This window comes from Homo sapiens, chromosome 4, assembly GCF_000001405.40.
Source record: "Homo sapiens chromosome 4, GRCh38.p14 Primary Assembly".
Taxonomy (NCBI): domain Eukaryota; kingdom Metazoa; phylum Chordata; class Mammalia; order Primates; family Hominidae; genus Homo; species Homo sapiens.
This window is the reverse complement of record NC_000004.12, coordinates 124,194,230-124,207,217: the sequence shown is the minus strand read 5'-3', so window position 1 is coordinate 124,207,217 and position 12,988 is coordinate 124,194,230. Positions and strand designations below refer to the sequence as shown.

At 35.3% G+C, this 12,988-nt stretch overlaps 2 long non-coding RNA genes across 4 annotated transcripts in view; one reads left to right on the top strand and one right to left on the bottom strand.

Moving 5' to 3' along the window:
• The window catches only part of LOC105377407 (uncharacterized), a 218,744-nt gene that overhangs the window by 44,963 nt on the left and 160,793 nt on the right, over positions 1 to 12,988 (top strand). The window lies entirely within an intron of this gene.
• Positions 1 to 12,988, bottom strand: part of LOC105377406 (uncharacterized) — a 129,167-nt gene that overhangs the window by 106,502 nt on the left and 9,677 nt on the right. The gene's annotated exons all lie outside the window — the stretch shown is intronic.

The following is a 12,988-nucleotide window of genomic DNA, read 5'->3' as shown; positions in this document are numbered from 1 at the left end:
ATGGAGAATGCCTTGGAGAGAGAAAGACCGAAGGCTAATGCGGTAGTTCAGATGAGAGACAACCAGGTTTTAATCTACTCATCTCCATTAGAACTCTTTTTTTTTGTGCACATAACTCCATGGCCTTGCTGCCCTAGGCAACAGTCAGCAGACCGCCAAACATGTGAGTGAGCCACAAGAACAACTTGGCCCAACCCCACATAAATTGTTGACCTATAAACGTAAACTAAATACATACATTTGTTTAACGATAAAAAAATTTAAAAAAAGTAACTCCTCTTTTTAAGGTCACTAATGACTAACACATTGATTAATCACATGGTCAAGCATTCGTCATATTACCCAACCGCTCAGGGGCAGTTGATGTAGTTGATCACTCCTTCCTTCTTATTTTTTTTTTTTTTTGGTTGGTTTTTTTTTTTTTTTTTTTTTTGAGAGAGAGTCTCACTCTTTCACCTGGGCGGGAGTGCAGTGGCTGCAATCTCGGCTCACTGAAACCTCTGCCTCCCTGGTTCAAGCGATTCTCCTGCCTCAGCCTCCCAAGTAGCTGGGATTACAGGCACCCGCCACTACTCCTAGCTATTTTTTTTTATTTTTAGTAGAGACGGGGTTTCACCTTGTTGGCCAGGCTGGTCTCAAACTCCTGACATCGTGATCTGCCCGCCTGGGCCTCTCAAAGTGCTGGGATTACAGGCGTGAGCCACGGCGCCTGGCCGACTCCTTCCTTGTTGACATTGCTTCCCCTGTCCTGCTCTGATCTTCATTGTTGTTCCTCTCAATCTTGGCTGGTTCTTCCTGTTGTCCTTGGTAAACTGCAGTACTTTAGGGCTTTTTATTTTTTCTCATATATTTATCTTCTCTCTTTATACTTTTCTTGGTAATCACATCCAATCCCGTGATTTTTAATACATCGACACACTGACAAATTTTAACTTCATTTCTAATCTTATCTAAACTAAAGTTGTATCATATGCCAGCCATGCCAAAATATATCTTGAATCTGATCCCCACTGCTGACATTTTATTTCAATCATTTAATTGAGATAACTTCCTACACTGTCTTCCTTTTCACCCTTGCTTATATTCTATCTTCAATACAGCATCCAGAATGAGCCTTTTAAAATATAAATCATCAGGCAGGGTCTTCCCCACCCTCCCCACCTCCTGACCCTCTGGCTGAAACCCACAGCGCAGCCTTCTCTCCTGTGTCGGTTGTGCTGATTGGTTGCAGCTCTGCATCTCTCTGGGGTGGAGCCCCAAGAGAAAAGTAAAAGACCCTTGGCCACAACCACTGCCAAGGTGCCTTCCTCTGTTGTCTCCAAGTTGGGGAGGGAACATAAACCCTGAGATTGCCCCAGAGTTGTGGTGGGCAGCCCAGGAGTGCCAAGCCATGAACTCAGCCAGCTCTCAAGTCGGGGAGGAACCCACATTTTCAGAACATTGATAGGGAGCATGGCTGCAATTGTGAGGAAATGTAAGGGAGCCACAAGACTGAGCAAGAGCCTGCTGACTGACCATTATGCCTAAGCACCACCTAGTGAATGACACCCCAAAGCTTCAACACCAAAAGTACTTCGTTAGCATACCTACCTGTGTACCAAAGACAAGAAGTCAGCTACAAATAAAGACCCTGCACAAAGCTTTGGCCCTCTGGAAACATCCAGAAAATATAAATCAAATCATATTACTCTTTTGCTCAAAACTTGCTAAAGACTTTTAGTCTCCTTTTTTGTTTGTTTGTTTTCTTTTGAGACAGACTTTCCCTCTTGTTGCCCAGTCTGGAGTGCAGTGGCTAAGATCTCCACTCACTGCAACCTCCGCCTCCCAGGTTCAAGTGATACTCCTGCCTCAGCCTCCCAAGTAGCTGGGATTACAGGCATGTGCCACCACGCCTGGCTAATTTTTGTGTTTTTAGTAGAGACAGGGTTTCACCATGTTGGTCAAGCTGGTCTCGAAAACTCCTGACCTCAGGTGATCCACCCTCCTGGGCCTCCCAAACTGCTGGGATTACAGGCGTGAGCCACCGCGCCCAGCCTTCTTTTACTTAGAGTCTTACAAGTAAAATCCAAAATTCCTACCACAACCCACAAAGTCTTAAATGCTGTGTAATCTGATATCCCTGTATCCTTTGTAATCTCTTCCTTGCTAACTCCATTCCTTGTTAGTTCTGAAAAAGCTAAGCAAGCCCAGGGATTTTGCATTTGCTGTTCCCTTTACCTAAAATGTCCCTTTCCTCCAATGTCACAAAACCATTTCCTGCAATTCTCTCATGTCTTTCCTCAAATATATTTACACGTAAACTTTATCTACCACTCTTGATAAAATCATACCCCATCCAAATCACTTCCTAATGCTCTTACTTGTTTTTTTCATGAAATTTATGCCACTTTTATCTTACATGGAATTTATACCTCACTTTATGTATTTATTTGTTTATTTTATGCCCCCTTCCTTAAGATTATGAGCTCTGTAAGACCAAGGAGTTCATTTTAGGTGTTACTCTAGGAGACAATATACATTGCAGGCATCTAATGTAATGTCTGTTGAATAAATAAATGAATATACATATGAAATCAGGTTAAACATAAATTGCTGAGGATTTTTATACTTGCATAAAGTGTACACTCAAAAGATTAGAGTTATAAATAATTATCCATACATATTATTATATTTAACTCTCAAAAGTCCCCAGGAGGTAAAGAATATTAGTCTGTTTTGCAGATAAGAAAATTGAGGCTCAAGAATAATTGGAAATTTGTCCAAGATTCCATAGAATGCATGTGTTTGAGTATAAGACCTATGTCTTATAGTTCCTTTTCGCACTGTCTCCCGTAAACAACCTGAGTATTGCAAGCAGTTTGACTGACTTTGTGTATTCAGATAATTACATTTAAAAATCCTGGCACGAAAGTAAGGTAATTGCTTGTGGAATATGATAGGGATAGAGTCAGAAAAACTTCCTGTAAAATTCTGGCTCAAGCAATAACCCAATTTGTGACTTGAACGCACCTTTCACCTCTCAACTTCAATATTTGCCTCTATAAAATGATAATCTTAAAATGTGCATATTACACAGTGGGATACCAATGATTAATGGTTACTGCCTGCAAAGAATTATCTAAGTGCTAAATAATATTATGATTACTAACAGGCTTGGAATTCTGGTTTGGAACTTTTGGCTGCTTATTCAAACCTTATCTAAACTATCTTAAAATCTTGAGTCTTTAAGACTGGCCTTACTAAAGCTTTCTCCTTGCTTATAGTCTAAAGTGATTTCTTAAGAAAAGAATTAATATTACGAATCTTGTGAAATTTTCAAATTTCTGCTTTTAAAGTCATCCTTCAAAAGGAAGATAAGAGGCATTTATTAGGAAAGCAAAACAACCTACTGAATAAGGGATTGCTTTTGACCTTGACATTGGTCTCAGCATCCCATGGTAGATGCTGCTAATTTTTTGAATCAGCGGTTGAGCCAAATTTCACAGTGTCAGTAAAATTTCTGAACACTTTCTGCTTAAAGGAATACAAAATCCAGGTACAACAAGCAGGAGAAGAACCACTAGGAAATGGGAAATTTTAAAAAGCATTCAATGTAGCCATTCAGTAACTTTCCTTTATATGGATTTTAGATAATTCATTGTGGTGTCAGTGTAAGCACTATTTTTCTCAATGCAGAAATTATTTTGACAATCATATCATATCACATATGTCACATATCATTTACTTAGATATTTACTGATTGCTTAATGGATGGCAAGGACTTGTTAGACATTGGACATATAGAAATAAAGACATACCACTAACATTACATAAAAATGTCAATGGAAGTAAACACAGGAGCTGGAATGAAATTACCCAATTTAAACTGAGAATATAGCTCCTTTGGCTTTTGAGAAACACAACAGACTTAAGTAACAGAGTCAAGCCAAATTGCCTGGTTCAAGTTCCAGCACTGCCACATATTAGCTGGGTGTCTTTGGACAAGTTATTTAATTTCTCTGTGCCTATTTCTCTATTACAAAACAGAGATTTTAATAGAATTTACCTCGTAGGGCTGTTGTGAAGATCAAATTGGTTAATATGTGTAAAACACTTGGAAAATCTTAGCAGAAAAAAGATTTTATATAGCTACTGGTTTTTATTATTATTTCAAATATAATGGTCTTTCCATGGTAGCAACATATAATCCAATGTCTTAGTTAAATATAAGTTGGGATAACTATATAATATCTCTAAGTAATTGATAGTGTTAATAAATTATTAACATGACTGAATATTTATGAGTTTTATTTGGGACTTAACCACTTATAAGTTGTGTGAACTTGGACAAGTTACTCAACCTCTCCATACTTCCATTTTCTCAACTGCAAACAGGGGGTAATATTTGTACTTAGCTCCCAAAGTTCTGATGAAGGAGGATTAAATTAATTAATAAGGTAAACCACTTTAAGAGAACCTGGCACATCGAGCCACTGTGTTGGTTATTGTTATTATTGCTAATGTCAGAAAATATATTACAATCAAAAGGAAAGAGACCAGAGTTGCATAAGTAATTAACAATAATCATCAAATATCAAAGTACGAAATGCTTCATCTGAGACAAACATAATTATTAGTAAGGAATAATCAATGAAAAATAAATATTTGTTACACCTATAGCCAATGGAGTAATAAAAAAAACTTACCAGCTGACAGTTAATATATAGTATAATCTTTTTGGAGTATCTTTTTGTACAAATTTCTCTGGGTAGACATCAATCTTTTTACATTACCTAGCACCTACCAACTAGCCTGAAGCCCTTAACAAGCTGTTACGTGGGGTGGTTTAAAACAGTAACAAGAAAAGGAAAAAATAAAAAAAAAAAACGAGAAGGAAAAAGTGCATGCTGTTTTGCTGAGTTGCACAACCTGGCTGATGGCCTAGGAACTACACTGGAAGTTGCTGAGTCTTGTTTAAATGTTTAACTCCAAGTCCCAAGGAAGTTAGAGAATCCAATGTCTACCAATATTTTAACATAACTTACATAAATCTTTAGCAAACATCAAATATGTTTGGGAGAGATAAGTTTGATTACTTACTGGCAATGTGTAATAACAAAATTCTCCTTATATTTTCACAAATGGAGTTATTAGAATGATCACTTCCCACGCTGATGTGTGTAGAAATGATGACTCCACTTATAGCCCTATTCACTCACCTCTCCTGTTGTTTCTAAACTTAATATATCCTTGTTTATAGCCTCTCACCCTCCAACATATTACTGGCCTACTTTTAGCTCATTCCTAAGAGGAGATAGTATTCCAGATCTGTGCACACTGAAGATATTCCAAACATATTTTACCCTTGTTAAGTCCAGGATGATAGAAAATTTCCTAATATTGCAGTAAATGCACAGGCTTTTATTTACTCATCATGCTTGATGACAGCCATTTCATGCTGGAATGGACATTCTAGGGGTGGCCTGGCTCAGAATCTGAAGGCAGAATAGCTTTTGTGGGGCAGCACAAATCTTGCCAACTTATGTGTGCTTTCCCCTAAAAATTGTTTATTAAAAGTCTTACCAATAGCGAGGTGTAACCCAGAGACTTTGGCAATGAAATTCTACTCATACAAATCATAGAAATATGTGTCTTTAGGATTTTTAAAAATAAAAATCTCAAATCAGTTTATATTTTTGTTGCATTTACACTTGTTAAAAAAATTTAAAAAGGTAATCAAAGCCTCTTTATTGTTACACAGCCAATAACGGTTATGGTCAAACTAGTTTTGATTTAGATAAAAGGCAAATTGCGTCTCCATGTCTGGGATAAGCCTGTAAAATTCACGAGTGTAGCAGAAACTAATCCTTGATCTGCCTCTCTTCCTTTCTTGTACTGCTGGGATGAAAACATAGCAGCAGTTATGTTAAAGAAAGCTGTGTGGAGTTGACAGAAAACTGCTAAAAACCTTATATATATATGTTTATAAAGGCATATAAAATTATAAACCTATATATGTATATATGTTTTTGGTTTTTTAAACTTTCTTGGTTCCTCAATTTCTACAAACTCTCAGTTTACTTTAAATTAAGAGTTATCAACAACAACAAAAAAATGGTAACCCTGTACTCCTAGCTAAGTAGGTTTTTCTACTCCTGAGATTATTTTGTCAGTGATAACTCACATATTGCTGTTTGATAAAGTAATCTATTCCAGACAGCCACTTGGTGACAATGAAACCATTTAGAAAGAACCAAATAGATATGTGGAAAAATATTCAAGAAAATGTTTAAAAGAAAATAATTAATGTTTCTTAGTAATAGAGAAGTTGGCTTTGAAAAAAAAGATGAACACATTATTTTGAAAATGTAACTTTAAAGTATCTAAGTGCAAGCTATCATTATGGAAGAGATCTAATTAAAAAGATTAATGTTTACAGTGATCCGTGCAATAGGTGCCTTGCTAAACAATTGCATATAAATTGAACTTCTGAAAGTTGAGTGAATGTATAATTTCTATTTACAGCAGGAACTTTTAATAAAAGAAGGATCTTTCTTTGTTGTTCTTGTTTTTGTTATTTTCTGTGATAATTTTCTATGAGAATATTTTAAAACTAGGCATTTCTATAATATAAAAATAATAAAAATTATGGGAAAAATCCATGTTATAATATCCATAACCTATCAATTAAGTGATTATGATAAAGGGTATCTAAAATTGGAAATGGCTGGAAAATTTTTCTTTGAGCTTTTAATCTCATAGAATTTTCCATCTTCGTTCACAGAAGGCATTTTGAAGTTGATGTGGTTTTGCTACCTATGAGCAGCTCCAAATTCCACATGACAGTCCCCAAGCTGCTTTCTTGGAAGGGCCTTTAGAAATGGTTTCTGAATAAACAAATGTTGAATCTCTTGCAAATAATGGGCCAAACCATTATTCTCACCTGCTTGCAAATAGAAGTTAATGTGTTTTCCATAAGGACCCAGTACAATGGCATTAAAAAAAAAATAAGCCAGCATTATGGTATTAGGAAAATAAGACATTTTTCAACACTGGTAATGTTACTGTAACTTAGATCCTTTTTTCAGATAGTGACAGAATGTACTTTTACTCCAAGAAGAATTCATAAAAGTGTAACAGGTACAAAGAAATATAAAACACTGTATGTTTTTCAGGGTGCAGCTTTTACAAGATTGTGTATACTAAGGGCATTTAATCACCGTAAGTATAGAAGTACTTCCTTTCCTCCTGGCAATTTGGGCCAGAAAAACTATAACAGTAATTGGAATATGAGTCACAGGATGTACTTTAGGTCAAGACAACACTTTAGGAAGGCCAAGTCAATACTTTTCCGACTGTGAAGGTTTGGGGATTTCTTTTCTTTTCTTTTCTTTTTTTGGTTTGCTTTCATTTTTTAATGCATTGATTTTATGTTTTGGCTTAAAGTTCTTCATGCTCCTAGAATTCAGGCTAGCACGCACGCACGTGCACACACACACACACACACACACAAACCCAAAAAATGAGAAAGAAAAGCCCTGACCTTTTTTGCTATTATTTTTTGTAATTTTAGAGAATTCTCTTATGTGTGCATATGGTCTAGTCTTTCCTTGATCAAAGGACCTCATCCAAACTTCAAGATTAAAAAAAAATTTCCAACTAGAGCACATTTAGGAAATTGTGGCCACAGCATATTTTATGGAATAAATTTTATTCAGCAGTTCAAAATTACTTAAATTATGTTTCTAGAAATCTTCTATTGAATTTTACTTTGAAAGTCAGAATTCCTAAGATTGGAAAGCCTTTTTACTCATCTTACTGATCTGAGTCAATATGCAAAGAACTTTCATGGTAATTGTCAGGACATGTATTACGTTTAGAGGCAAGTGTGGATAAGATATGTTGTTGGCATGATAGGAGATTTGAAGTCAGGGATCAACATTACGGCTGGTAACATCTCCTTTATTTTCCAAGGCACCTATCACCATGATTATCAGATCTGTAAACAGACATATTAACTTAAAATCTATACATAATATAATGAATCCTGTTGCTGCAGGATGCAAGAACAGGGAAGGAAAGGAAGAATATTTGATGATTGGAAGAGGCGACTAAAAGTGAGCACTTTCCTTGGTCTCTGGCTTCCCCGTGATGGTATATCTTCTCTAAACAGCCTAATCTTGGTTCTTTGGAAAGGGTTAGGTATTGGCAATCAGAACACAGGCCAGGAATTCTAAGTGCATTCAGTAAAAATTATTGCAGTTGGTGGTAGTGGCTCATCGCTTTGATTTTCAGCATCTCTATTTTGGCAGGCTAGGGTCAAGCTGGAATGTACAGAATAATATATTTGCATAAATTACAATATAGTAGATTTAATTCTATTTTAGAGAAAATGAGCTCTTTTCACAGGGTATTGACAAGAAATCTAGGATATGTTATAAAATCTGTATTAGATAATATGAATTAGTAGTGTCATCTGTATTAGTAGTTTATCAATTACAATTTTAGAGTGGACAAAATCAAACATTTTATTTAAATAAGAAATGACTAGAGATTATTGTTTAGTCTCCCATAAAGAAGAAAATAAAATTTGTCCATGATTATTTGCTCATCATGAATATTTAGTGATTGCTAAATTATGTCTCTCTACTTGTTCCATAATGTCTCCAGATATGTGGAGGCAGTATGCATTGAAGGATTGCCTGAATGAAAAAAATATTCGTTCATAAATGAATAACCTGAAGTAAGTCTCTTGATTTTCTCCTCACTCAGACCCAGGTAGAGCCATATTGAGTTTCCTAATCTCCAGAATTTTCCTTATCATCTTATTTTGAAAAATGAACTGTCTTTAATTTCTGTGAATCTAATATATAACAAATACTAACCTTTGTTTCAAGTTGAAGGAAATGAATTTAGATTGACATTTTTTGTTGTATTCATCCCTCCTGAAGGCAGAGAAAACTTCTGTACTTTATGTTCCTTATGATGTTCCTTCATTCATTCTCTTGTCCATAGAATGATTGAGGGAATCTTCCACTGTACCCAAAATTCTAGTTAACAAACATCCTATCCAGGACTTTGTAATCATCTTAACTCCCTGTTTATAAATCTTCCCTAAGCATGTCATTTCAAAAGTTTGCCTCAGTTCTTCTTGCTAGCATTTAACACAAGAAGGCCCTGCTCATAACATTAGTCTAGGTAGAATAATGATGGGGATTTACTCATTGTTATGAATATTTCTATTTTATATGCCCAAAAAATTTCCTTTCCTCTAAGAAATCATTCCCCTTACTAGGAAATAATGGAAACTTTCAATTGTATAAGTAATACAAACTCAAAATAGAAAATCTGGTTTAAAAAAGTAGAAAAAAGAAATTTTTTTAGAAACCCAAGTAAGTCTACCTAGAGACAATCTTTTAATTTGTACCTTTCAATGAATCTTTTTAGATAAAAATTAAAATATTGTATTAATACAAAATATGCAACATATAATTTTGCATCTTTTATTTCTTAACTTATGTTATCTTCTTTTCTATGTTGTTAAATATTCTCAGGAAATATATGTATATATATTTATATATTAATTATATATATATATATATATTGTGACAGGGTCCTACTCTGTTGTCAGGCTAGAGTGCAGTGGCACAATCATGGCTCACTGCAACCTCAAGCTCCTGGGCTCAAACAATCCTTCAATGCACTTAAAACTACAGGCACATACCAATCACACCCAGCTAATTTTTAAATTTTTTGCAGAGGTGGCATCTCACCATGTTGCCCAGGCTAGTCTCAAACTTGTGGCCTCAAGCAATCCTCTTGCTGAGCCTCCCAAGGTACTGAGATTATAGGTATGAGCCACTGTGCCCAAACAAGAAATATTATATTTCATTATATTTAAATGAATATAAAATCACATTGTTTAGATACAGCATACTTTTAATATGTTTTAATAATTTAATTTTTGCATCTTATCATTAAATACATTTGAGATTTATTTTGCTATGTAATGAAGTGAGGATCTAACATGAACTTTAAAAGAAGTGTTTTCAACCACTTTCTTTTAAATATACTCTTCCTAAGTGGTTTCATACAACTTTCTTATCTTTGTATCTGACATTCTCAAATCTGCACTTATTCTCCTTTAATCCATGGCATTAACAGAGTGATCTTTTTAAAATACAAATTTGATTATATACTACATTGTCTGAGCAATTCATGGGATATAAACAAGATGGCAGAAAGGGTGGATTTTGAATAGAAATAAACCAGTATATCAGCTTTGAAAATTTGAGTTGCTCATTAGATTTCCATATAGAGATGCTGATCTTGGTGTTAAGGAATGGGTAACACAGATAATTTTTAAAGTACATTACTGTATTGAAAACTTTTCAGAAAAGTTCAGGGCCTGAGTCCTAGAGCACTGCATTGCTTAGAGGTAAGGTAGTTGAGGAAGAGCTGACAAAGGGGTTGAGAAGGAGCAGCCCAAAAAGTAGAAAGAGAGCAAACAAAGTGATGTCCAGAAGCCAATGGCAAAATGCTCCAAGAAAAATAAGGTACCAACTGTGGCTGCTTAAGGAAAAGTATGATGAAGTCTAAGAATTGACCCTTGGATTTAGCAACCTGATAGCTGGCGAGCTTGGGGCATTAAGCATTTTGGTAGAATGACATTGAAAAATCGATTGGAGTATGTTTAAGAGATCAGGGAGAAGATTGGCAAAATGATTACAAACCCTTCCAAAGAATACTGTTGTAAAGGTAAACAGATAAGTGGAGTGATAGCTAGTAGAGTTGGCTATAGAGTAAAAAAAAAAAAAAAAAAAAAAAAAGCACTTTCTTTTTTAAAATGAAAAATAAGGCATGTATGTATTCTAATGGGAATGATTCAATTAAAGGGAGAAAATTAGGATGCAGAAAACTAGAATGAGTAAAGGGGCACTTTGCTGGGAAAGAGACCTAAAATAAGTGAGAAGTGATAGAATCTATTATACTGGTGAGGAGCTTGGCCTTAGATGAGGAAGAATAGTTTACATAATGTAAGGAGGGAAGCAGAGCATATGGGTGGCACAGGCGAGTAAGTGTGAAGATGTGCTGGTGGGGCGCGTGGAGGATGCTTATGATTACCTAATTTAATTTTGGTCAAGTATAAATCAAGGTCATCAGCTGAGAGTGAAAATGGTGAGGATCTATTGGAGATTAGAGAAGATGTAAGGTCCTGAGACTAACTGGGAGAATAGAATAAGGATGTTCAGCTGATAGCTCTATGAGTACTCCAAATCTGTGTCAGCAATTTCAAGTAAGGCCATTCAACATAGTTTTGCCTTTTTACACTATTCTATTGCATGGCTATAGAAATTGAGTAGGCAGAGAGCTGGATTTAACCAGGGTTTAGGTTTTGCCAGGCAGTTGTGGCAAAGGTATGGGGAAGACAGGAGTTGGTGGTGTACAGGCATGATTATAATGATTGGTGCTAAAAGATAAGCTGAGGAAGAGGGAAAGTGGTACTTGGAGAGGGAAGCAAAAATGCTTCATGGAACATAGGTTGCTGGAGAAGCAGAATAATTGTCTACATGTGTTGGAGAGAGTGAGATAGAACAAGTAGGAAGTAGGCGGAGAGTGAGATTTCCAAATCTGAGGTCCCACAAGGAATGTAGTTTCAGTAATTTTACATCATTATTTTTGAATATTGGAGTGGATGCTTGTTAAGGAACTAAGAGGCCAGGGTGTGAGAGGTATCATCTATGTGAATATTGTAATTTCCAAAAATCAAGAATCATGCGAGGAGAAGTATTGAAGAGAATGGTGGTAAGCCAGCTATGATTAATTCTCAAGGAGTTAGAGAGGGGTGACCTAGAGATCTGTTGAGATCATCTGAACTGTGTTATTTGAAAGGTTGTTTAGATATTTTTCTTAGCTATGTATTTAATTTTTCCATTGGCTTCAGTCTCTTTTTCAATCTTCGTAAACCATGTTATCATTAACATTTTTGTCATTTTCCAATTAATTCAAGGAGAGTTTCTTATTATTGTTCTTCACCTTGCTAGTATCCTCTAATGCCATTTATGTTTTTCATTACCTCAAATGGAGATTTGAATTCTGTTAATCTTGAAATTTTACCTTTATGAGTTATCATCATTTTCTTCATTTTTTCTCACATTTTCGTTTCTTCTCACATTTTCATTTCAACTAGTCCTCAGATTACACTTTTCTTTTCCTGTTTCATAGAGTCCAGGGCATCTTGTAAAATATGGAAAATGAAGAACAGCTTCTGAAATATTATGCACATCTCTATAGTGAATCCTTTTTGGAGATAAATTCCCCTTGAAATGTTTGGATGATGTTTCTTTTGCTTCCTTCTGTAGGACGACGTCATAGGCTCCAGGCAAGTTTTCTTTAATCAAGTTGTCCTCATTGAGAAGGGAGGTCCTATACCCAGTTCTGTCAGCAGAATAGGTGACTAATTGAATATGTCTTATTGAGTAAATTTACTAAATTACCTTCATGTCAGCTGGATCAAAGACCAAAATGTTTTCTCCAATTGCCAGTTTAAGACATTTTTTAACAAGCACATGAAAAATTGCTCAAGATTATTAGCCATTAGCTAAATGCAAATAAAAACAAAAATGAGATACCACTTCACACTCACTAAGATGACTTTACTAAAAAAGATGGATGTTAACATGGCACATGTATACATATGTAACAAACCTGCATGTTGTGCACATGTACCCTAGAACTTAAAGTATAATAAAAAAAGGATGGATATTAACAAGTGTTGGTGAGTATACAGAGAAATCAGAACACTCATGCCAGCATAACTTGTTTTATCTTGCTTCATTTTATTGCATTTTGCAGATAATGTTTACTTTGGATTTTTTTTTTAACAAATGAAAGGTTTGTGGCAAATGTGTCAAGCAAATATGTCAGTGCCATTTTTTTCCAAAAACATGCGCTCACTTCATGTCTCTGTGTCACATTTTGATAATTCTCACAATATTTAAAACTTTTT